The sequence below is a fragment of the Homo sapiens genome, chromosome 15 (genome assembly GCF_000001405.40).
Source record: "Homo sapiens chromosome 15, GRCh38.p14 Primary Assembly".
In the NCBI taxonomy this organism is placed as follows: Eukaryota; Metazoa; Chordata; class Mammalia; order Primates; family Hominidae; genus Homo; species Homo sapiens.
Window position 1 is genome coordinate 84,210,355 of NC_000015.10, and position 24,264 is coordinate 84,234,618.

At 43.4% G+C, this 24,264-nt stretch overlaps 1 long non-coding RNA gene and 1 pseudogene across 2 annotated transcripts in view, besides 1 other annotated feature; one reads left to right on the forward strand and one right to left on the reverse strand.

Annotated features, from left to right (window-relative positions):
* Positions 1–19,814, reverse strand: part of GOLGA2P7 (GOLGA2 pseudogene 7) — a 31,321-nt pseudogene extending 11,507 nt beyond the window's left edge. The window contains exon 1 of the transcript NR_027001.1: positions 19,498–19,814. The product of NR_027001.1 is annotated as a GOLGA2 pseudogene 7 (transcript). The remainder of the gene's footprint in view (positions 1–19,497) is intronic.
* LOC105376724 (uncharacterized) lies at positions 4,510–10,537 on the forward strand. Its single transcript, XR_007064745.1, has 2 exons — positions 4,510–5,051; positions 10,252–10,537. It is a non-coding gene; the product is annotated as an uncharacterized LOC105376724 (long non-coding RNA).
* Positions 19,595–20,094: an enhancer, noted in NCBI's record as "H3K27ac hESC enhancer chr15:84898701-84899200 (GRCh37/hg19 assembly coordinates)". NCBI's record gives its function as "activates a minimal SCP1, AML or CMV promoter by ChIP-STARR-seq in primed H9 embryonic stem cells {active_cell/tissue: H9 hESC(primed)}" and the evidence as "EXISTENCE:reporter gene assay evidence [ECO:0000049][PMID:30033119]".

Here is a 24,264-nt window from a genome sequence, read left to right on the forward strand (position 1 = left end):
TTTCCAGTGATTAGCTGTCAGGTGGGCTAAGCCAAGAAAATCTGGGTTTTCCCTGACACTAGACCTCTCTTTCTGGGAGATACGGAATCACAGGGACAAGGCTGGCCCTGTCAGAACTCATCTTGTCTAAATGGGAAGAGGTTAGGCAAGTTTCTAGAATGCCAGACTGCTTTCTAGAAAGTCAAAGATAATTATACTTTCTGCCACGACTGTGAAAATGCCCATTTCATTGCACGCTTTCTAACATTTATACCAATCTGATAAATAAAAGCTGGTACCTAGAAGAAAAAAAGGCTGGGTATGGTGGCTCATGCCTGTAATCCCAGTACTTTGGGAGACCAAGGTGAGTGGATCACCTGAGGTCAGGAGTTCGAGACAAGCCTGGCCAACATGATGAAACCCCATCTCTAGTAAAAACACAAACATTAGCCGGGCATGGTGGCAGGCCCCTGTAATCCCAACTACTCGGGAGGCTGAGGCAAGAGAATCACTTGAACCTGGGAGGTGGAGGTTTTAGTGAGCCAAGATCATGCCATTGCCCTCCAGCCTGGGTGACAAGGTGAGACTTTGTCTCAAAAAAAAAAAAAAAGTTTCCATACAATATAATTTGTTCCATCTCTAAAAACCAATTCAGCAATAACTGAAAGCCACCACTTGGAAGGTTTCAAGGATTTAGCTCTACCTGTTGATGATGTCCAAAGCATTAGTTAAGGTAGAAAAAAAATATACACACACACACACACACACACACACACACACACACACACTCACCCCTATGTAGTCAGTACCAGGAAACACGAAAGACTAGATGGTACAGTCATCCAACACAAAGCACACAATAACTGAAGGCACTGTAGAGGAGTAACTTATGACACAGATCTACAATATTGAGTGAAAATGCAGATTACAAAAAAAAATCTGATTTTTTAAGGGAGAGGGAACACATACAAGCAAAGGAGAAAAGAGATGAGCAGATGACTGAAAGATACAAAATTCTGATAGTGGTACATTCTGAGTGGTAGAATTATCAGTATTATTTTCTAGTTTTGCCTAAAAATTTTCTAAATTTCTTAAGAACTTTTTGTTATCCATATTATCAAATATCCATCACCCCAGGAAACTTAACCTTGAGCACAAACTCTACAACAAGTTCAATGTTTGTTCAGTTTAATATTTAAGAGACAACCTATTTTGAAAGACATCTAAAATGATGACCAATATTTAAACCTATGCATTAATATTTTTCAATCATATCCTTCACATTTTGTAATTTTGATAAGGTTAAGCTTTAGATCCATCTTGAAAAGATAAGTTTTCTGTTTGTCTTTAAAATATGACCCACAATATGCCTGTTTTTAAACAGTGAATGATGCTCTAAAATCACAATATAAATTCAGGCAGTGCTCCTTACATGGAAAGTTTAAGTACTTCTAACACTGCTCTTTTTCACTTGTTATGAAAACACAGAACAATTATCTAAGCATCTAATTATTCAGGTCCTTTGTTTCTCCTCCAATCTATTAGTTTTATAGTAATTTTAGGGCCTGTGAGGATGAAGCTGTCTGTGACAGCTACCACAAAGGTTACTATAGGTGGACAAATTTCAAACAAGTTTATCACCACTACCATCCCCACCATAAAACTGTCTCAATCAAGGGCAACACAATTCAATATTAGCCAAGACAACCTCTTTACCTGTCACTGCTTAAGAAAAGGATTTTTGGTCTTATTTAGAAATAACTTTCTGTACCTATTTTTCTCCATAAATCCACTGAGACCAATGTGTGGCTCTATCTCAAGCACCAGCAAGCAAAACTGCCTGCTAGAAGGTTCAGTTTTTGTATCTTTCCAAATGTAGAACACAGCTATCTTCAAGGATTTCATAATTTTTTGAAAATTGATGCACAAACTTCTTGAAAGTTCAGAGACACAGCAGCTGTAATTCTTCTGAAGGCTGGTTATGGGACACATTACCTTCATACTTTGCTGTTTAAGAAATGTGGGGTGGAGAATCAAGTAAACTGATAGAATTTCCATATAAAATTCTAAGTGCTCTGAGAACAAAAGAAACTTAAAATACACACACACACACACACACACACACACGGTTTTCCCTACTAATCATTTTACAACTAAACAACCAAGTTGCTAAACCAGAGCCCACAAAAGCAGAGTCAAAGTTCTAACACTTGGTAAAAGAAAAATGCACACATACCCCTGTGAGCTAAAAAAAAATGCTTAAGTATTCAAAGACAGCAATTACAGCTACTGAGAACATCACTGTAAGCAAACTGAGGCAGAGAAAACAAACGTGCTGATGAGGATTTGAACCACCTAAGCTGCAGAAACCCACTGGATGGTTTCCTAGGTTCCGAGTTGGCATTATCTTTCAGAACAATCTTCTAGAAGAGATCACATAACACTGTTACAAAGGATCTGGAGAAAGGGACCCTGGCTTCATCACTGTGGCTCTCCAGTCATGCTTTACATTTGGCAGTGACTATCTCCATTCAACTCAATTCCCTAACCCTAAACTAGCTGACATTTATCAAATACTGCCCTTTACCAGGTCTAAGTAAGTTTAACTCCCCCCACCCCCACCAAAAAAAATTCAAGATACTAAGGGATATACTATTCACAAAAGGGAAACCTGTCTCCTCTTCATATACCTGTTCCTTTCAAGGAAGGGTATAAAAATGGGGATGAGGGAGGATAACCACTAGGAATTTGACCCTATATTATAAATTGGTCAGATAAATGAAAATAATTCCTCTGGACTCAAAGTGATATGGCTCTGAAAACGGGAGAAACATCGGGGTCCTTTGTCTCACGCCAGTTAAACGACATGGACACACAGGAGTGGTTTTAAGGAGCAGAAAGTTTAATAGACAAGAAAGAAGAAAGGCTCCCTGCGGTACAGAAAAAGGGGGTCTGAACAGAGAAAAAGCCCCGTGTGTGGCAGAACAGTACTCGGTTATATTGGGAGGCTGGAGGAGGTGGTGTCTGATTTGCACAGGGCCCAGGGCATTGGTTTGACCAGGCAGGTCATTCATGTAGCCCGAGAAAAACGTGGCCCTCCCACCCTAGCCTTTTAATATGCAAATGTAGGTCACCATGTTGTCCTGCACACATGGGGTCATCTGGAGGTGTCACCTTGAGGTGGTGACTAGAAGAAGAGGGTGGGAATCTCCATGTTGAATGGACACAGTTTCTAAGCGCTGGCATTTGCATATCAAAGCTTGGCAGCCTGTAGTCCCAGCTACTCAGGAGGCTGAGGCAGGAGATTCACTTGAACCTGGGAGGCAGAGGCTGCAGTGAGCTGAGATCACACCACTGCACTCCAGCCTGGGTGACAGAGCGAGATTCCGTCTCCAAAAAAAAGATAAAAAGAAAAGAAAAAGAAATGTTTCTGGAGTTGTTTCTATTAAAAGGGAAAGCCTTACTGAGGCCTCCTTACCCTCTCTATCTGCCTAGTATAATTTCTGAATAACTCCTCTATTAAAAGTACCACTGAGGTGCTTAATATGACATTTCTGATATTTCCCAATGCTCCTCCACAAATTCAATTTGGAAAGGTAATCTGTTCCAGGAGGGCAAACCAAAGAAAAAGTCCTAGGCTCCTGAGTCAAGGCTTGTTTCTTTCCTTTGTACAAGCTGACTACCTTTTAATCATAGTAAAAATGAGAAAAATGCAAGATGAAGTTAACAGCATTGCTTTATTTCCCATGAAAAGCTGTTATAAAGCATTCTCAAAATAAACTGTTATTCAGCCACAAATGACACCATCACTTTTTTATTCATAGGGCACAGTATCGCTGCCAAAGAGCTTTCCTCTATATGCTCTCTTGCAGGGCAAAAAATATTATCTATGTTATACAGAAACACAGTAAAAAAAGTGATTTACTTAAGGTCCTAACTACTAAATAAAAGCTAAACTACTCACTTCCTCCTAGATTCAGAGAGAGCTCCAACATTTTCTAAAATTTGGTATCTTGTTGTTGGGGTAGGCACTTTTTGGCAATAATGAATAGACATTTAATTAGCCAATCAAAAAAACTTATTAGGTACAGTAAGTTCCTCTTCAAAGGTTTAACCTGTTCAACTTCCTTGTTCTTTGTTCCTAAGAACAATTTCCCTGTACCTTCTCACCCCTATTTACCTGCTTAGTTATCTGCTCAGTTACCTGCCTTGTAAACAACTCTTCCCATCAGTCCCAACCTGTAACTCACATTCCCTCTCCCTTCCTTATTAGGGAGAATATTCGCGATAGCAAATCAAGTCTGCTTAGATTGTGTAGTCCGACTCCAGCCCATGTGGGAATGACAGAGAGGTAGGGACTGCGTTAGGGATATAAACTCCTGCTCTATCCCGCTCGGTGTGCTCTTGCATTCGTGACTAATGCAAACAGCACTCTTTTGCAGAAGTAAGTTGTCTTGCTGAGAAAACTTTTTTTCCTGAGTGCTGGTTCTTCCTTGCAGCACTGATCATTTGTTTCTTTTTTCTTTCTTTTTTTTTTTTTTTTTTTTGAGACAGAGTTTCGCTCTGTTGCCCAGGGTGGAGCACAGTGGCTTGATCTCAGCTCACTGCAAGCTCCACCTCCCAGGTTCACGCCATTCTCCTGCCTCAGCCTCCTGAGTAGCCGGGACTACAGGCACCCACCACTGCGCCCAGCTAATTTTTTTGTATTTTTTTTTTTTTAGTAGAGACGGCATTTCACCATGTTAGCCAGGATGGTCTCGATCTCCTGACTTCATGATCCGCCCACCTCGGCCTCCCAAAGTGCTGGGATTACAGGGGCGAGCCACTGCGCCCAGCCTGATCATTTGTTTCTAACAATCTGGGGGCTCGTCCGGAATTCCCATTCTCCTCTGAGAAAAGGGTCTCCAGTCACCAATAGTGAGGAGAAGCATCCCACTGCCTCATTGAGGTGGCCTCATGGTGAGGGATCAGGACCCACCCAGTGTGATGAATAAACCCGGACTCTCAGCAGTCTGGAAAGGAACAGACCAACAACTTAAGAGAAAAGGATCCTCACATACCATGGTGACCAGGTAACTATGTGCACAGACCAATGTAAGAAACATCACAAGAGCGACAAAGTATTTTCTTGGTGGTTGGGATATCTTGGAGATTGAAAGTGTGTGTTGAGACTCACAATTGAGTGCAAAGCAAGTGTTCAGTCCAGATCTGCAGTTCTGTGGTCACCTTATACAGCTTAAGGTAGCCCTTCTGTAAAGGAGTCTGGGTCAGGGGTTTCTACTGAAACAGCCATTGCTAAGAGGAAACCAACGTTCCCGTGAGGGAAGCAGCCAGAGAAGGATGAAGCGAAAGGAGAAAAGTGCAAGAAACCTCCAGCAGGGGGGTTGAGCCTCTAGGAAAGGAAAGGAAAGGAAAGGAAAGGAAAGGTGAGAAATCTCCAGTAGGAGAGGTTGAGCCTTATACAAACCTCTCGTAACTGGGAAGAAATTTCTAGTAGGGGAAATTGAGCCTCACCCCAATCCCTTTTCAAGATGGGAAATACCTCAAGTAATGCAGGGGAGAAAAAGGATAAAGCTAGCAACAATAACATTCCTCCTGATAGTCCCCTAGGGCTTATGCTAAAATATGGAAAGAGAGTGAAAGGACTAAATACAAGAAAAAGCAGCAAATGATAAAATATTGTTGTTTCATTTGGACTCAGGAATCAATCCTGAAAAGCAAGTCAGAAATTAACTCCTCTGAGAAAGATAAGGTCCCTGTTCCTAGACAGCTCACCAACACATGGAACTTCCTCCACCACCTTCCCCCGTCCAATACCCCTAACCTCCCTCCCCCTCAAGCAGAGGCAGTTGTCCCAGACCCTTCTCCTACCCACATTGTTCCCCCTCTTTATAACCCTGCCTCTTGGGAATTGTCCCAACAGCCTGCTCACTATCACCCTAAGTACTCTTCCCTGAAAGGACTTCAATGTGAGATAGAGCAATGTAAAAGGGATATTCAGAACTTCCCCTTCCCCTCTACCTCGGGAGAATTAGCTCCACCTCTCTTCCCCTGAAGAGAGGTGTCCCTACGAGGAGGAGGTATTCACTTTGTAAATGCTCCTTTAACCAGCTCGGAGGTCCAAAACCTAAAAACAGAGTTCAAGCCACACTATTAGACAACTCCAGTGGAATAGCAGATCGAATTAACCAATTTCTAGGACCACAGTTATATATACTTGGGCTGAGTTAATGTCCATCCTAGGCATCCTTTTCTCAGGGGAAGAAAGAAGCATCATCTGTAGAGCTGCTATGGTAGCCTGGGAACATGAACACCCTCCTGGCCAAAACATTCATGCAGCGGATCAAAAATTCCCCAACCAAGACCCCTGCTGGGACAATAATAACGCAGCCCACTGAAGAGGATACGCAAGAACTTAGGGAAATGATAATAAAAGGGATTCGGGAGTCAGTACTCCGAACCCAAAATCTTACTCGAGCATTCGACATACAACAAAGGAAAGATGAAGGGCCTATCGAACTTTTAGACAGGTTGAAAGAACAAATGAGAAAATATGCTGGCCTAGATTTAGAAGATCCTCTTAGGCAGTGAATGTTAAAGCTTCATTTTGTTACTAACAGCCAGATATCACAAGGAAATTACAAAAGATAGGAAATTGGAAGGACCATCCCACGAACGAGCTTCTTAGAGAAGCTCAGAAAGTGTGTGTAAGGAGGGATGAGGAGAAGCAAAAAGAAAAAATGAAAATTATGTTATCCACCTTCCAACAGGGGGCCCCAAAGGATAAAACACACCAGTATTACTCTCTGTTACCCAGAGACCCACACACTCCCAAACAAAGCCTCCCGAGAGCCAAAACCTATAAAGATCCTAGGCCCCCACTTCCTAAGCCATATAAAGAACATAAGGAGGCAAAGCCGAGAAACCCAAAAATAGAAGAGACAGAATCAATGCTTCAATTGTGAGAAAGTAGGCCACTTCAAGAGGTATTGTCCCAAATTAAAATCAGAAAGAGAAGTCGTCCCACTTACGACCTTTGAGGAGGAATAGGGGGGTTAGGGGCTCTGTCTCTTTTACCTTGAATCCCACCAAGAGCCCTTGATAAATTTAGAAGTGGAACCCAAATCTGAGCTTATGACCTTTTTAGTAGACTCAGGAGCAGCCTGCTCCTCTGTTTGTTACCTTCCCCCACAATATAACCTGGTCCTCAGAGGAGCTTGTAGTCTCAGGGGTAAAAGGAGAGGGAATCAAACTAAAAATTTTAAAAGAAACAGAAATTAGATGTAAAAACTGCTCAGCTAATGTTGAATTTTTGTTAATTTCAGAGGCAGGAACTAATCTATTAGGAAGAAACTTAATGTTAAAATTAGGTATAGGTTTACATATTGGCTCAGAAGGATTCTACACTTCATTAAACCTGCTCACCACTGCAGAAGAAACATACATTCATCCTGATGTTTGGGCAAGGGAAGGAAATTGGGGAAAACTCCAAATTCCCCCTATACATATAAAGTTAAAAACCCCTGGAGAAATAGTAAGAAGAAAGCAATATCCTATTCCTTTAGAAGGCAGAATAGGCCTGAAACCTGTAATTGAAAGCCTCATCAAGGATGGGCTCCTTGAACCCTGTATGTCCCCTTATAACACCCCAATACTGCCTGTGAAGAAACCAGATAGGTCATGTCGACTAGCATAAGACCTCTGGGCCATCAACCAGACAGTCTAGACTACCCATCCTGTTGTCCCTAATCCTTAAACCATTCTCAGTAAAATTCCATATGAACATCAATGGTTTACAGTAATAGGTTTAAAAGATGCCTTTTGAGCATGCTCCTTGGATGAGGACAGCTGAGACATTTTTGCTTTCGAATGGGAAGATCCCCATTCTGGATGACAGCAACAGTATCGATAGACAGCTCTACCCCCGGGCTTCACAGATTCCCCTAATCTCTTTGGTCAAATTCTAGAACAAGTGTTAGAACAAGTTTATACCCCAAAATGTATATGTCTGCTCCAGTACGTAGATGACTTATTAATATCCGGTTAGGCTATAGAAAAGGTATCTGCTTTCTCCATCCATATCCTTAACCATTTGTAAGGAGAGGGGCTATGGGTTTCAAAGAGAAAGCTTCAATTCATAGAGCCTGAAGTTAAATACCTAGGACACTTAATAAGTAACGGCAAACGAAGGATAGGGCCTGAGAGGGTTGAAGGGATTGTATCCATACCTTTGCCTAAGACTAAACAAGAACTCAGAAAATTCCTAGGGATAGCCGGATATTGCCGCTTATGGATTGACTCATATGCCCTTGTCATAAAGCCTCTCTACCTAAAAATCACCCAAGAAAAGCCTGACCCTCTCCTCTGGACTTCTGAAGAACTCCACCAGGTTGAGGAGCTAAAACATCTGCTTATAACTGCCTCTGTTTTAGCTTTGCCTTCCCTAGAAAAGCCATTTCACCTTTCTGTTAACATAAATAAGGGGGTAGCTTTAGGGGTCCTTACCCAAGAACACGGAGGTCACCAGCAACCCATGGATCTCCTATCAAAAGTTTTAGATCCAGTAACCTGTGGATGGCCTGAATGTTTCAATCCATTGCAGCTACCGCCTTGTTAACTAAAGAAAGCAGAAAACTAACCTTTGGGGGAAAGTTAGTTGTAAACATGCCCCATCAGGTTAGAGCCATCTTAAATTAAAAGGCAGGAAGGTGGCTTACTGACTTGAGAATTTTAAAGTATGAAGCTATCCTGTTAGAAAGAGATGATTTAACACTAACCACTGATAATTCACTTAACCCAGAGGTTTCCTGACTGGAGATTCAAATCTAAAGAGACCTGAGCATGAGTGTTTAGATTTAATGATCATACAAAAGTTAGGCCTGATTTAAGAGAGACCCCTTACAAAACGGGGCAGGGCTTCTTTATAGATGGCTCTTCCCAAGTAATTGAAGGAAAAAGGCGTAATAGGTACTCAGTAGTAGATGGGGAGGCACTTGAAGAAGTAGAGTCAGGAAGCCTGCCAAATAATTGGTCTGCCCAAACATGTGAATGAATTGTTTGCATTAAATCAAGCCTTAAAGCACTTGCAAAACCAAGAACGGACTATTTATACTGATTCCAAGTATGCCTTTGGGGCAGCTCACACCTTTGGAAAAATTTGGACTGAACGAGATCTTATTAATAGCAAAGGCCAAGACCTGGGCCACAAAGAATTAATCACCCAAGTATTAGATAACCTGCAGCTGCCAGAATAGCTATTGTCCATGTTCCAGGACATCAGAAAGGTCTTTCTTTTCAAAGCGGAAGGAATAACCTAGCAGATCAAATAGCCAAACACACTGCCGTTTCCTCTGAAAATGCCTGTTTTTCACTTAGCCCCTTGCCTTCCTCCCTCGACTGCAGTCCCCATCTTTTCTCCCGCTGAAAAGGAAAAATTAATAAAAATAGGAGCCAAAGAAAATTCAGAAGGGAAATGGGTGTCACCAGACCAAAGAGAAATGTTATCCAAACCCCTCATGAGGGAAATCCTCTTTCATCTGCATCAAGGGACTCATTAGGGACCTCAAGCTAAGTGTGATGCAGTCCTCGGGGTCTACAGATGTATAGGAATTTACATTTTGGCAAGACAAGTTACAGATAGTTGCCTAGTATGTAAGAAGACTAATAAGCAGATCCTCAGAAAACCACCTGTTGGAGGGAGAAATCCAGGATTAAGGCTGTTCCAAATTGTCCAAATTGATTATGCCGAAATGCCCCCAATTGGTCACTTAAAATATTTATTAGTGATAGATCACCTTACTCATTGGGTAGAAGCTATTCCCTTTTCAAGTGCAACTGCTAGTAATGTACTCAAGGCATTAGTTGAAAATATTATACCCAGGTTTGGATTAATAGAAAATGCTGATTCAGACAACAGGACTCATTTCACTGCACATGTTCTTAAGAAACTAGCCCAAGTACTAGATATAACATGGGACTACCATAACCCCTGGCACCCACCTTCATCAGGAAGAGTAGAAAGAATGAATCAGACTCTGAAAAACCACCTAACCAAATTAGTCCTAGAGACTCGGTTGCCATGGACTAAATGCCTCCCCATGGTCTTGTGAAGATTCCAAACTGCCCCTAGGAAAGATGTCGGCTCACCTCCTTATGAAATGCTGTATGAGTTGCCTTATCTACACTCCACTGCTGACATTCCTCGTTCGAAACAAAAGATCTGTTTCTCAAGAACTATATACTTGGTCTATCCTCCACTTTCTCTTTCCTTAGGACTAAAGGCCTCTTGGCACATACACCACCCCTTGAATTTCCAGTTCACCACCACCAGCCCGGACAGTGACCACATTCTCATCAAAGGTCAGAAAGAAAGGAAGCTCAAGCCCACCTGGGAGGGACATTATCTAGTGTTTCTAATGACTGAGACAGCCGTCCACACCACTGAAAAAGAATGGACTCACCATACCTGAGTCAAAAGAGCACCACCCACTCCAGAATCATGGACAGCTATTTCAGGGCCAATTCCAACCAAGTTAAAGCTAAAACGGGTTTGATCCTCTTATGCTATATTTCTTTTCCCCTTCTATTGCTAGTCCTCTCGTTATTAATGTAACTAGGTCGAGCTCACCCCAAACTATTACCTTTGATGCTTGCCTTGTTATATCCTGTGGAGATCTCCAAAGTCAAAAGCAACTCTCAGCCTCAGAGAAGTATCTCCGTCCCTTTCAGACAAAAGCCTCCCCCATTACGACTCTTGTTCCTTAAGAAATGTAGGGAAACAGGCCTGCCACAGCTGGAATGATATTATGTGGACAACTGAACATCAGGGCTTTGTCAACAGGCAGTTGTAAGTCTCTAAAACCATGTTTGCTTTGTTAAAGGAAACATTCCCCACCCCCTGACTGCCAGTATAACCAATGTAATCCAGTGCAAATTTCTATTCTTATCCCCACTTCTGCCAACCCTAAACCTACTTTAAGTCGCTTATACGGCATAGGAGCCAAAATAGCAGGGACACATCTTATAGAATCCTTTGAAATGCATTTCATTACTTTCTCACCTCCTCCACCTCCTTCTACACTCTCTCTCAACGAAACCGCTGTTCTTCCTTCAACCAAGGATAAAATCAAGGTAAGCCATTGTAGAAGTTAAAAATTTGAAACAAACCATAGCAACTGAGACAGGGTACCAAGATGCAAATGCTTGGTTAGAATGGATTAAATATTCTGTCCGCACTCTAAACAAAAGCAACTGTTACACTTGTGCGCACAGTAGGCCAGAGGCCCAGGTTGTCCCCTTTCCACTCGGATGGTCTTCCAGCCAACTGGGCATGAGCTGTATGGTAGCTCTTCTCCAAGACCCCACAGCCTGGGGTAATGAATCTTGCCAAGCTCTCTCTCTGCTATTCCCTAAAGTCCAACACCCTGCAGGTCAGTCCCTGAGGGCCATCCAGCCTCCATCTATTGACACCAATTTTTACCTCGGGTCTCTCACAACAAGGGGAAAACTTGGCATTTCATGAAGACCTAAAGGGATGCGGTGAACTTAAACTCTCCCAAGAGCTTACCAGTCAGTCTGCCCTTGTTCATCCTCGAGCATACGTATGGTGGTATTGTGGTGGACCCTTACTGGACACTCTGCCAAGTAACTGGAGTGGTACTTGTGCTCTAGTCCAACTGGCCATCCCTTTCACCCTAGCATTCCATTAACATAATAGAAGAGAAAATCAGAAGAGAAGAAGTGACCTTCATGGGTCCTTTGACTCCCACGTTTATAAAGATGCTACTGGAGTTCCACGAGGGGTACCAGATAAATTTAAGGCCCGAAATCAAACAGCTTCAGGATTTGAATCTGTGCTGTTTTGGTGGTCAACTGTAAATAAAAATGTAGATCGGATAAACTACATTTATTACAACCAACAAAGGTTTGTTAACTACACAAGACATGCCATTAAGGGAACAGCCTCCCAATTAGGTCCCATTAACTAAATAGTCTGGGAAAACAGGATAGCCCTAGATACGATGCTAGCAGAAAAAGGTGGTGTCTGTGTCATGATTGGAGTCCAATGATGTACTTTTATTCCTAATAACACAGCCCCTGACGGAACAGTAACAAAAGCTTTGCAGGACCTAACCTCCTTATCCAATGAGTTAGCAAGCAATTCTGGAATAAATGATCCCTTTACAAGTTTAATGGAGAAATGGTCTGGAAAATGGAAAGGCTTAATGTCCTCAATATTTACTTCTCTTGCAATCGTTATAGGTGTGCTTATTCTTGTTGGATGCTGTATCATACCATACATTTGTGGACTACTGCAAAGACTCATAGACACAGAACTTACCAAAACCTCTCTTAGCTCTCCTCCACCCTATTCAGATAAGCTTTTCCTTCTAGAAAACCAAGCAGAACAGCAAAGCAAAGACATGCTAAAAAAGTTTGAAGAGGAAGAATTACAAAAATTAAGAGGGGGGAATTGTTAGGTACAGTAAGTTCCTCTTCAAAGGTTTAACTTGTTCAACTTCCTTGTTCTCTGTTCCTAAGAACAATTTCCCTGTACCTTCTCGACCCTACTTACCAGCTTAGTTACCTGCTTAGTAACCTGCCTTGTAAACAACTCTTCCTACCAGCCCCAATCTGTAACTCACATTCCCCCTCCCTTTCTTATTAGAGAAAATATTCACAATATCCAGCTGAGTCAGCTAAGATTGTGCAGTCCTACCCCAGCCCATGTTGGAATGACACAGAGGTAGGGAGTGCATTAGGGATAAGAACCCCTGCTCCACCCCGTTTGGTGTGCTCTTGCAATCATGACTAATGCAAGCAGCATACTTGCAGAAGCAAATTGTCTTGCTGAGAAAACTTTTTTGCCTGAGTGCTGCTTCTTCCTCACAGCACCAATCATTTGTTTCTAACAATCTCGCTAAAAGCAGCCTAGAAAGCAGCCACTTATGCAGAAAGAGTAATAATTTATGCTCTACAAGTCATATAAAAAATGAAGTTTCATTTGTTTACCGGCTAATTTACTTCTGGGAGACATTTTTCATTCTAAAACAGTGATTCCCTACCAAGAGTTCATAGATGCCAAGAAGTCCATAAAAGGCGTAATGGAATTGCCAAATTATGTTAAATACTTCAAAAGGACTCAAAGCCATATACTAGTTCCCAATAGGCCTGCACAAGTTATTAGAACAAGCTGCTTTGCATTCTTGTGTGATCAGAACCAGTAACTAGATGGCAATCAGGTCTGTTACTGAAGATGGAAAAACTATACTTAAGTTTGTATAACAATCTTTCATAACATGGCTTCACAGAAAAGAAGTATAAAAAGGATTCCTTGGTTGAAAAAGAGTGCTCTTTTCCCTTCATTATTTAAGATTAGGACAAATTTATAAAACAGGAAAAAAATAGCACAAATCCCTTGGCAAACAGAGTAAAACATCTACTCTGTTTTGCTTTTTTTCACTTCTTACACTCTCTTTCATAGGAAGTCAATTTACAGACTTCCATCAAGCCCTTAGAGACCTTTTTGTACTATCCATGACAAGCTCTTGATGTTATCTCTGCACTTTTGACAAATTCTTAGCAGTTAACTTACAAGGCAGTTAAGATTTTTGTTCAAGCACAATATAGCTAGAATAGGCTCATACATTCAATAAAACAAATATTTACCAAGCATTTATTGAGTGGAAGATAAAAAGCACAAAGCATAATTATAAAATATTTTCCCCTGCCACCATAAAAAAATTAAACAGGCTTACAGAATACAGTGTAAGAAAACATGACCAAAGCAAAAATAGTAAGGACTAAAGAAGGGAGGAAGGGGAAATATCAACATGGACTGAATATGACCCAAAAGAGCCTTGATGGATGGTCAGACATGTAAAGGCAAATTGGTTAGGGTTAAGGGGTGGAGGTCAGGGCACGTTCTATAGGGAAACGGCAGCTGATACAGAAGCCTGAAAGGAAAAGCGGGCAGAGCACCTGGACAGGACTCTTCAGGAACGAGCACGCACGTGCGTGAAAAACAACTTAGTGAGGTACCGTTCACCCAAACATTAGAGAAACCGCGTAAAAATGCTTCTTGGTAAGCATGAAGAAGGCAGGGCTCGCCCTGTAGAAGAACTCAATAAACATTTGAACTGTCTAAAGAGTAAAAGTTAATGAATAGGCCAAACTCACTCCTTTCTTTGTTTTAAGAGCTACAACTTTAGAGAATAACAAATCACAAACCCAGTAGACAGGTCCTGGCATTTCAAATCCAACCCCATTTTTCCCTTAATCTTTCCCCTCTGAGCAAATGGTATCGACATGAACAAGCCATGTTGATTTGATCAAGACACTCATCCATGGTTAAAAGAGTCTTTACTTTCAAGAGATACAAACAGAAATATTTACATGGGCTAATTTACTGGGCAACAAGAGAGAAACTCCGTCTCAAAAAAAAAAAAGGAAATAAAAGCATACAAAGTGAAAACAAAGAAATTAAACTGCCCTTATTTGCCAGTGACATTACTGTCTATGCACAAAATTCCAAAAATCTACAAAAAAGCTTCTAGTACTAAAAATGAGTTTAGCAAGGTTGTAGAATCCAAGGTCAGCATATAACATAAAATCACCTTCCTATATACTAGCAATCACCAACTGGAAATTGAGAAGTATCATTCACAACAGTACCACAAACATGAAATAAATGTGTAAGATTACAAAATACAAGCAAGATCCAACTGCTAAAAACTACAAAACACTGACGAAAAATCTAAGAAGGTCTAAATAAATAGATATACCATGTTCATGGCTCATTATTAAAATGTCAGTTGCCTCCTAACTGATTTCCAGTTTCAATGCAATGTCAATCAAAAACCCCAGCAGGCTCTCACGCCTGTAAGCCCTACACTTTGGGAGACCATGGTGGGAGGATTGCTTCATCCCGGGAGTTTGAGACCAGGCTGGGCAACATAGAGAGACCCTGTCTCTACAAAAATAAAAAAATTAGCCAGGCATGGCGGTGCATGCATGTGATCCCAGCTACTTGGGAGGCTGAGGTGGGATAATCGCTTGGTTCAAGGCTGCAGTGAGCAGTGATCCTGCCACTGCGTTTCAGCCTGGGCAACTGAGTGGGACACTTTTTTTTTTTTTTTTGAGACAAGGTCTCGCTCTGTCGACCAGGCTGGAGTGAAGTGGTGCAATCTCGGCTCACTGCAACCTCCATCTCCTGGGTTCAAGTGATTCTCCTGCCTCAGCCTCCCAAGTAGCTGGGATTACAGGTGCCCGCCACCATGCCCAGCTAATTTTTCTGTTTTTAGTAGAAACGGGGTTTCACCATGTTGGCCAGGCTGGTCTTGAACTCCTGAACTCAAGTGATCCACCCGCCTCGGCCTCCCAAAGTGCTGGGATTACAGGCATGAGCCACCGCACCAGGCCATGAAACACTTTCTTCCACCCACGGCTTTCTCTTCTCTCCCCATTTACAGCAATAAGACAGCCTAACCTGGGAAAGAGAGAGAGAGGGAAGCTACTTCCAAATGGATGCCTGTCCCCATCAGTAATAACCAAGTCTATTCAAGTGCTAGATGTTAACTTTAAAAGAAGGAAACATCAAAAGTCCAAGTTTCAGCCGGGTGCAGTGGCTCATGCCTGTAATCCCAGCACTTTAGGAGGCTGAGGTGGGTGGATCACGAGGTCAGGAGTTCAAGACCAGCCTGGTCAATATGGTGAAACCCCGTCTCTACTAAAAATACAAAAATTAGTCAGGCATGGTGGCGTGTGCCTGTAGTCCCAGCTACTCGGGAGAGGCAGAAGATTCGCTTCAACCGGGGAAGCAGAGGTTGCAGTGAGCCAAGATCGTGCTACTGCACTCCAGCCTGGGTGACAGAGCGAGACTCCGTCTCAAAAAAAAAAAAAAGTCCAAGTGTCTTCGCCTAGCTTTGTCAGGAATGTTTTTACCCTCAGTCTGTAAGTGTGACCAAATATATTTTTTAAAGGTTTACCCTCTCAATCTGTTAAGTTCAAAGGTTAACTATAATCTCTTCATAAGAAAACTATTGGAAAGATGGAATAAAATACACAGAAATGTCCTTAACAGGTAAATATTTATTTTTCTTTCTTATTATTATACTTTAAGTTCTGGGGTATATGTGCAGAACGTGCAGGTTTGTTGCATAGGTACACACGTGCCATGGTGGTTTGCTGCACCCATCAACTCGTCATCTACACTAGGTATTTCTCCTAATGCTATCCCTCCCCTAGCCCCCCAACCCCCAACAGGCCCCAGTGTGTGATGTTCCCCACTCCCTGTGTCCGTGTGTTCTCACTGTTCAACTCCCACTACAGGTAAATATTTCTAGAATGTATCTACTCCATCAGCTAGTGTAAGTATTCTAAACTGTGCTAGTATAGCTGCTTTAAATCACTGCTTTCTTCTGCAAATGGTGGCACCTTTAAAGTGTTATCTTGAAGGGGAAGTGAGTGATTTGCTCATGTCTCTGCTGAACTAACACTGTTAACACCCAGTCCAGTTCTACCTTAAACAAGTCTGAGAAATACAGACATAATCCATACTTGTTATTTGTCAAGACTAAGGTAAAATAAGGAAAGTTGGAACTCACTCATATCCTCTTATGACTGATGTACTGAAAACAATCCATCTCTCACCATTTCCTAAATAGCATAGTCACAAAGAGCTCTACCCTACCAAGTACTCTGCAAGTCCCACTCTCAAAGGAAGACTCACAGGTGACTGAGAAGATAAATTTGCTATTGTTTCCATTATCCTTCAGTTCATCTGACACCTTTGAAGAAACGCATTTGGATAAGACTCACAAGTCTCAGGGCCCCTTCTTTATGAAAGAAATAGCTAAGCCTCCATACTCAGAAGCATCAGACTTTTCAGAATGCTTAAGTCATGTAAAAACGTATCAAAATTATTATCATTACAGCTACCAGGAAATAGCTACCTACTCCATGTTAGATACTGCAGTTAAGTATCTCACACAGTTTCACTGATTCCTAACAACACTGCAAAGCATGTTACTAACCCTTAAGGAGTAGGAAGCTGAAGCTCTGAGAGGCTATGCAACTACTCAATGGAAATGTGGGGATCTGAACTCTACCTAGCTCCAAAGGGCGTACTTTTTTCTAAAATTTCTAATTTTTTTCCAATTTCACAATGGAGGCAGAGTTTTCACTACAATTTTAATAATTTCACCAGCTGGGTGGGGTGGCTCACGCCTGTAATTCCAGTACTGTGGGAGGCTGAGGTGGGAGGACGGCTTGGGTCCCAGGAAGACAACTGGGCAACAGTGAAGATTCTGACTCTAAAAAAAATAAGAATTTCACCAAAAGGGGGAACAGATTTCTAAATCGGAATCTCTTGTTAAAATCCTTAGAGCACTAGTTAAGCCCCACTTCTTTTCAAAAAATAACCGACAGATTAAAAAAAAGGTTAGAAGTCCTTTTAAAGTAAATTTCATCAGAGATCTGCAAGTGAATTGTCATTTTGGACAAGTCCCCAGAGTTGGTGGCCCTCTCCTGTGTACACCAGCTACCACTAGGCAGTAAAAGTAATTTACCCAATTCAAACACATACCGTGCCTGCACTATGTTAAAACCACTGGCAAAGAGGGTACAAAGTTAAATAAGGTCTATCACAGCCCTCAAGGAGTTAAAGGACTAGAGGAGGAGTCCATTTATAGTATAGTATGTGTGCAGTTACCATTTAGTCAAGGCAAACGAACTGTGAGAAATCCTACAACAATAGTACCTACAGTATAACATGCCATCACCGCCCACAGAAGGAAAGCAACTGGTGCCCTCGTCACGTTATGTTGTTAGTACTTGCTTACATGATGTCCCTCCCTGACAATCCCTTCCAACCTCTGTCAGCCTCCTTCCCCACAATCACACACACACACAAAACCACACTGCCAGGAAGGGAAGCCATTGAGTGAGTATTGTGAATCCTACAAGTGGCTCTGTAGTTTAAAAGGGCAATGCCTGTGCCTGAAGAAAATTTGTCTTTAGCTTCATCAGGTGAAGAAAATTGGTTTTATAACACAAGGCCCACCAAACCAGAAAAGCCCAGGAACGCTTCTCCAAAGGACTCACTTAGCACGAGAAATCACTCAGAGCAAACTGACGCACACAGTATTTGTCAAATTTTTCTTTTTCATTTAGCAGAAGGTAAGGTAAAGGACTACAACTGAAGTTAATAAATGACACTCTAGCCATTTTGATCATTTGTCACTATAAATGATAGACATTTAAGCTAGTTCCATCTGGGGAAGTGAAACAGAATCATGTTCATATAATAAGCCAGACGAACCAAATTCAGTGGAATACGTGCACCCAAAACTGGACCAGACTTGTACTTAATGCAGCCTGCAAATCCCCAAGAGTCCACGACAGAATACAAGAACAGTAACACTGGTTTATCTCAACTCATCTTAGCTCCCTCACAAACTTGCCAATAATGACCTTTCAAGAACTGCACCGTTGGTCCTCATCTGGGCAATCCCGTGGCTTAGAAAAACTGAATAAAGTGCTTCTTCGAAAAATAAAACAATGCGGGGAGGGGGGAGTAGTAACAAAAAAAAAGGCACACTGGTTTTTACTGTACTGAAGCAATAAATTCTCCAACTAACTTCATTAATGAGTATCAGCAAAGAATGAACACCAAAATACCGCTCAATCCAACTTTCATCGTGAATTCTTGAATTCACAGTAGGATCATTAAATGTGACGGTATCACTCTGCTATAAAAACTATTTCCAAAACAAAACAAACCTATCTACCCCCTTTCTTGATTTAAAAAAAAAAAAAAAGAAGAAAGAAGGAAAATTTGAGGGTTTTTGCTTTTTTCAACTTCACATACCGGTTTGCCTTTGCAAAAAAAAAAAAAAAAAATGTTTAGTCTCAAAGTATAGCTGCAAGGTGGACCGGCTGCACGGGTCCCAGAGGGCCGCTCGCCTCCGACGGTCGCAGTTTCAGCCGGGCCGCGCCCGCGAGAAACAGCGGAGAGGCCCCAGCAGGCGGGCGCCGCCGGACAGGTTTACCGTCCGCGTCGGCCCCGGGGAACCGCTCCCTCGCGCCCGCAGCACTTGTTCGCGGCGCGGACTCCACACCGCGGCCGCCCGCCCCAGGGGAGGAGTGAGTCCGCCCCAGCGGCGCCAACCCGGGGACCCGGGGCAAGGGTTCGGGGCCATCCGCCGCCGGGCGCGCCCCCCATCCGGAAAGCGGCGACGGCCCCCAAGTTGGGCTGCGGAGTGGGAGGCGCGCCGAGCCCCAAGCAGACAATGCGGGAGAAGGGTGATGCGCAGGGAGGAGGGGTCCGCAAAGCTGAGGTCCCCGCGCCGCCCGGCTACCCATCCGTGCCGCCCGCCCCTGAAGCCCCGCGCAGCCCCCGACCCTCCTCTGGGGCCCGCCCCACCGAGCGGCCGCAGGGGACGGGCCGCGCTCCGCACCCCGACCCCTCCTCAAATCACAAAACTTCCCCCAACTCCGCCAACTAAGTTGCGCTCTCACCGTGCGGCTCCCGGGGCTCCCCCGCGGGCCGAGCCGAGACAGCTCCTCACCTTCGCCGCGGAGAAAGACAATAGGCTGCCTCTCCCCCGGCGGCGGCAGCAGCGGCTGCGGCTAAAGCGGCGGCAACCGAGGCGAGCAATGGGCACGGCGGTCTCGGCCGAGCCGAGGGGCTTCACCGCTGCTGTTCCGGCTCCGCGACAGCTCTGCACGTAGCCCCAGCCACCCCGCGCACCGGCTACAAGCCGCCCGGGGGTGGCCGGGGCACGCAAGAGGGCAGTAACGTCTGCGAGTCCTCCCGTGAGTACACGCGGAGCAAGGGCTGCGAGCTGGGATTGCACGGCAGAGCTGCCCATCCCGCTCCACGAGACCAATAGTAAGGCACCTGGGCGGGGCGCTCAGGTTGCTAAGGGAGGCTGAGGTTGACCGCCGGGGCTGCTCTGTGGCAAAGTGATCACAGCAGGGTGGCTGGCAGAGACTGCTCTGGGAAATGCCCACTCACGGTCTCCTCTCCGCCCTGTTTCTAGAAACTGCCCTTTCTCTGTGTGCTCGTGGTTACCTGAGCTGTAGCATTTAACCACACATCGTGAAATGATTTACTCCTCTATTTCCCCCACTTCAACTCAGGAAGTGGGGTTTAGTCTTCTGTGTCCACAGCCTAGGACAGTCTAAGGTATTAGGTATTAAATATAGGTATTAAACAAGTGTTGGATGGATGCACGGCGCTATGGCGGAATCACAATTGTGACAGTGCATTCCGTGAACTTTTGGCTACTCGATCACCACAGTCGTTCCGTGTTCAAGCTGCAAAGGACCTCAGAAATCATCGGATTGCTTTGAGAAACAAAATGTGGTCCGTGTACCAACGGCGGCCGAGGAGAATATATTAGCTGGTACACGGAGAAACTTCTTTTTTCAAATAGTTAAGTGTTTTAGTGCTCATTAGGAGGGAAATGCCTATCACGTCAAATCATTGTTTCATTAATGTTACTTCTTAGGTCAAATAAAAAGTGGCAAAAAACAAGTGTATTTCAAGAAAAGTGTTAAGTGAAACTTGAGACACTTTATATGCAGTTCAAGAATGTAAAATACTAGTTGACAGTGATTGAAGTAAGAACAGTTGGTTAGGTAGGAGGAGAAGATTATTGGCTGGGAAGGAGGAGGAGGGAACCCTCTGTGGTGCTGATTCTGTATTTTGACCTGGGTGATGGATAACAAAAGTATGTACATCAATAAAAAATACATCCAGTGCACTTTAGATTAGTGCACTTTACACATTTTATACATGTATTTTTAATGTCAATTTTTAAAAAATCTGGTATGGTATATACCCCCACAACCCCCCCCCCAAAAAAATGCAAAGATGCAAATGACTGCCATTTGGGAAACACTGATCCAGGCAGGCTCACTAGCAGTGACCAAACACCTGAGAAAGGGTATTGTGAATACCTGATGTATGTGCCAGGAACTTCCATGGTTGAATAGCTCCAAATCTCAGAAATGCTCCTAACCTAGTGTTGAGCTCTGGTGCATAGATATATTTTCTTTTCTTTCTTTCTTTTTTTTTTTTTTTTTTTTGAGGCAGAGTTTCACTCTTGTTGCCCAGGCTGGAGTGCAATGGCACGATATCAGCTCACTGCAACCTCCGCCTCCCAGGTTCAAGCGATTCTCCTGCCTCAGCTGCCCGAGTAGCTGGAATTACAGGCACATGCCACCAATTCCAGCTAATTTTTTGTATTTTTAGTAGAGACAGGGTTTCACCATGTTGGCCAGGCTGGTCTCAAACTCCTGACTTCAGGTGATCCACCCACCTCGGCCTCCCAAAGTGCTGGGATTACAGGCTTACAGGTGTGAGCCTCAGCATCCAACCCAGAATAGCTTAAAAAAAAAAAAAAGCCAGGCATGCCCAGTTCTTCATGTGAAATTATTTCTGTATCACCTCATCATGCTGCTCACCCTCTTCCACTGTTCTCTAATTTGTCCTTGTTGATATTTAAAAGCTGGCACAAGGCCGGGCGCAGTGGCTCACACCTGTAATCCCAGCACTTTGGGAGGCTGAGGAGGGTAGATCACTAGAGCCCAGGAGTTCGAGACCAGCCTGGGCTACAGGTGAAACCCCATCTGTATAAAAGATACAAAAATTAGCCAAACGTGGTAGCCCAAATCCCAGCTACTTGGGAGACCGATGTAGAAGGATCACTTGAGCCCAGGAGGAGAGGTTGCATGAGCCAAATCAGCAGGGCAGCTGCAGAGTGGGGTGCAAGGTCCTCAACCCAGAGGTTCCCTAGGCCCCACTTGCCCCAGCTCATGAGAGCCTGGTTCTGAGCTCTGCCAGGACCGGGGCTCAGCACTGCCCATGAAAACAGGCGTGGCAGGGAAGAAAATCATAACCAAATATTTGTAGTCATTCCAGAACCTCCCTTCTGGAAAGGGAGGTTCCCAGGTTTGTGGGCTCTTTGCCTCCTGGACATTATTGTGTAGTGAAGGGAGAAAGGTTGAGATGCAGAGTTGGAGAAACTAAGAGAGGCCGAACTGGTCCATTTGAGGAAAGATGACTGATCCCAGAAGGGGAGGAGGGGACACCCTGGGGAAGCAGGGGGCTTCCCAGATGGTCCAAGAAGGGGAGGGCAGGATATAGAAAGTCAGAGCATGGTTTTGAGTTTTGGAGACAACAAGAGAAAAGAGGGAGGGATTTGGACAACTATGGAGAGGACTGGGCTGTGGAGAGAAATGTTTAGAGATTTGGAAGATGGTGTGTCATGCGATGTATTGTGAAAACCCCTTCTTCATATCCCTAAAAGACCACCGCTGATGGTGATTCATGGTACAATTGATGATTGTATCATGATATAATTCAGTGCTTTTGCAGAGGGATTGGTGCCTTTTTAAAATAATAATGATGCTTTGGCTTGGCTCCATCTGAATTAGTAGAGACAGACAGCTTGAGCAGGTTTTATCAGAGTTCCATTAGCTAAATATTGGGTTTCCTATTTTGTGGCTTGCTTTAAACCACTTTGTAGGCCCTTCCGCACTGAAAGCCACTACAGAAATCACCTCTTTGGTCTGCAGCTCCACGTCCCCAAGCTCTGGGCTTTCCTGAATGAGTGGCCTCATTCAGAAGATAATACAGCATCCCTCATCCGAAAATCCAAAATCTGAAATGCTTCAAAATCCAAAACTGTTTGAGTGCCGACATGATGTTCGAAGGCCAGATTCAAAGGAAATGCTCATTGGAGCATTTTGGATTTCAGATTTTCGAATTCCAAAATCTGAAAAAAATCCAAAATCTGAAATACTTCTGTAATTTAACCTGTAATAGACATTTGGTCCTGACCTTCCAGCTGAGGCAGCAAGCAGTCAACAGAGGCTCACCATGCATCCCTCCTGCTCCTCACCCTCCCACGGGCTTGTGCCTCACCCCCCAGCCTCCCTTGCACCTGCTGGGGAGGGGACAGGATGCTCCTGCTCTGCCTTCTTGGATCTCGGGCTACTGTGATAATTGCAGGATTCCAGCCAGGGAAAATGCTACAGGTAGAAGTACTTGGTACTCTCCATAGAGAAGTTTCCAGCAATGGCACATCTGCCCCAGGAAGTGTGCTGCCACACCCAGCTAATTTTAAAAACTTTCTGTAGAGGTGTGAATTCACTATGCTGCCAAGGCTGGTCTTGAATTCCTGGCTTCAAGTAATCCTCCCACCTTTGCTTGCCAAAGTGCTGGGATTACGGCATGAACTAGAGCTCCCAGCCGAGAGTTTAGTTTTGTTTGCTAGTGGTGTTCTTGGTATCTTTTCATATTTGAGGCTTTGGTGCTAGTGCTGAAGTATTACACTCACCATCCGAGGTTTGCAGGACTTTTGTTTCAGTATTGAACAGATGGAACTGTTTAGTTCTTCATCTTTGCAGGTATACCAAATGTGCCTACCAGGAGTCTGCTTTATAGCCATTGAAAAGCAAGAAGTAATATAGTAAAATTTTGCCTGGCTAGAGGCTTTGGAAGACAAGTATTTTGGCTTAATTCTATTAACGTGGAAGGATGAAGGTGAAAAAAATTCAAAACTTTAATATCCTGTTTATTGCAATTTGAAAATATAGCCAATGATTCCACTTTTCTTCTCCAGTAAGTTTGGACATTCTGATCTACTTGGTGTTTTATTACAGAACTGCTAGTGTGCCTGAGTCTTACATTGTGAAGATCCTTCTCTAAAACTTCACATGTAAGAGAATATAAATGATATTGGATAAGATCAGGCTGGATGAGAACTGATACCTGTAAATATGCGATTTAGACGAAATCTCTGATTGTTTTCTTATTTAACTCATAAAAATAAAACACATTGGCTGGAAGGTGGGAGCAGGAAGGAGATTTATGTCTTTTAATTGCACGTCATTGTTTCATATAGAGAAAACATATAGTATCCCTGGTTTTGGACCTACAGAAGGAAACACATTTTTCTACCTGCTGTATGCCAGAGGTTCTTGAACACCTGGAGGGATTACTGCAGCACAGATTGCTGAGCCCTACTCCAGAGTTTCTGATTCATCAGGTCCAGGGTGGGGCCGGAGGATGTGTATTTATAAGAAGTTCCCAGGTGCTGCTGGAGCTGCTAGTCCAGAGACTACATTTTTGAGAACTGCTCTCATATACTAACTGTAAGTTGCAGAGCTCTAGAAAAAAAGCTTAGTTTGGTGTGGGATAAGAAGCACACAGGTTATGGAGAAAATCATGAAAGATTCAACCCTTGATCCCAGCCTAGTGTGGATTTCAGGTAA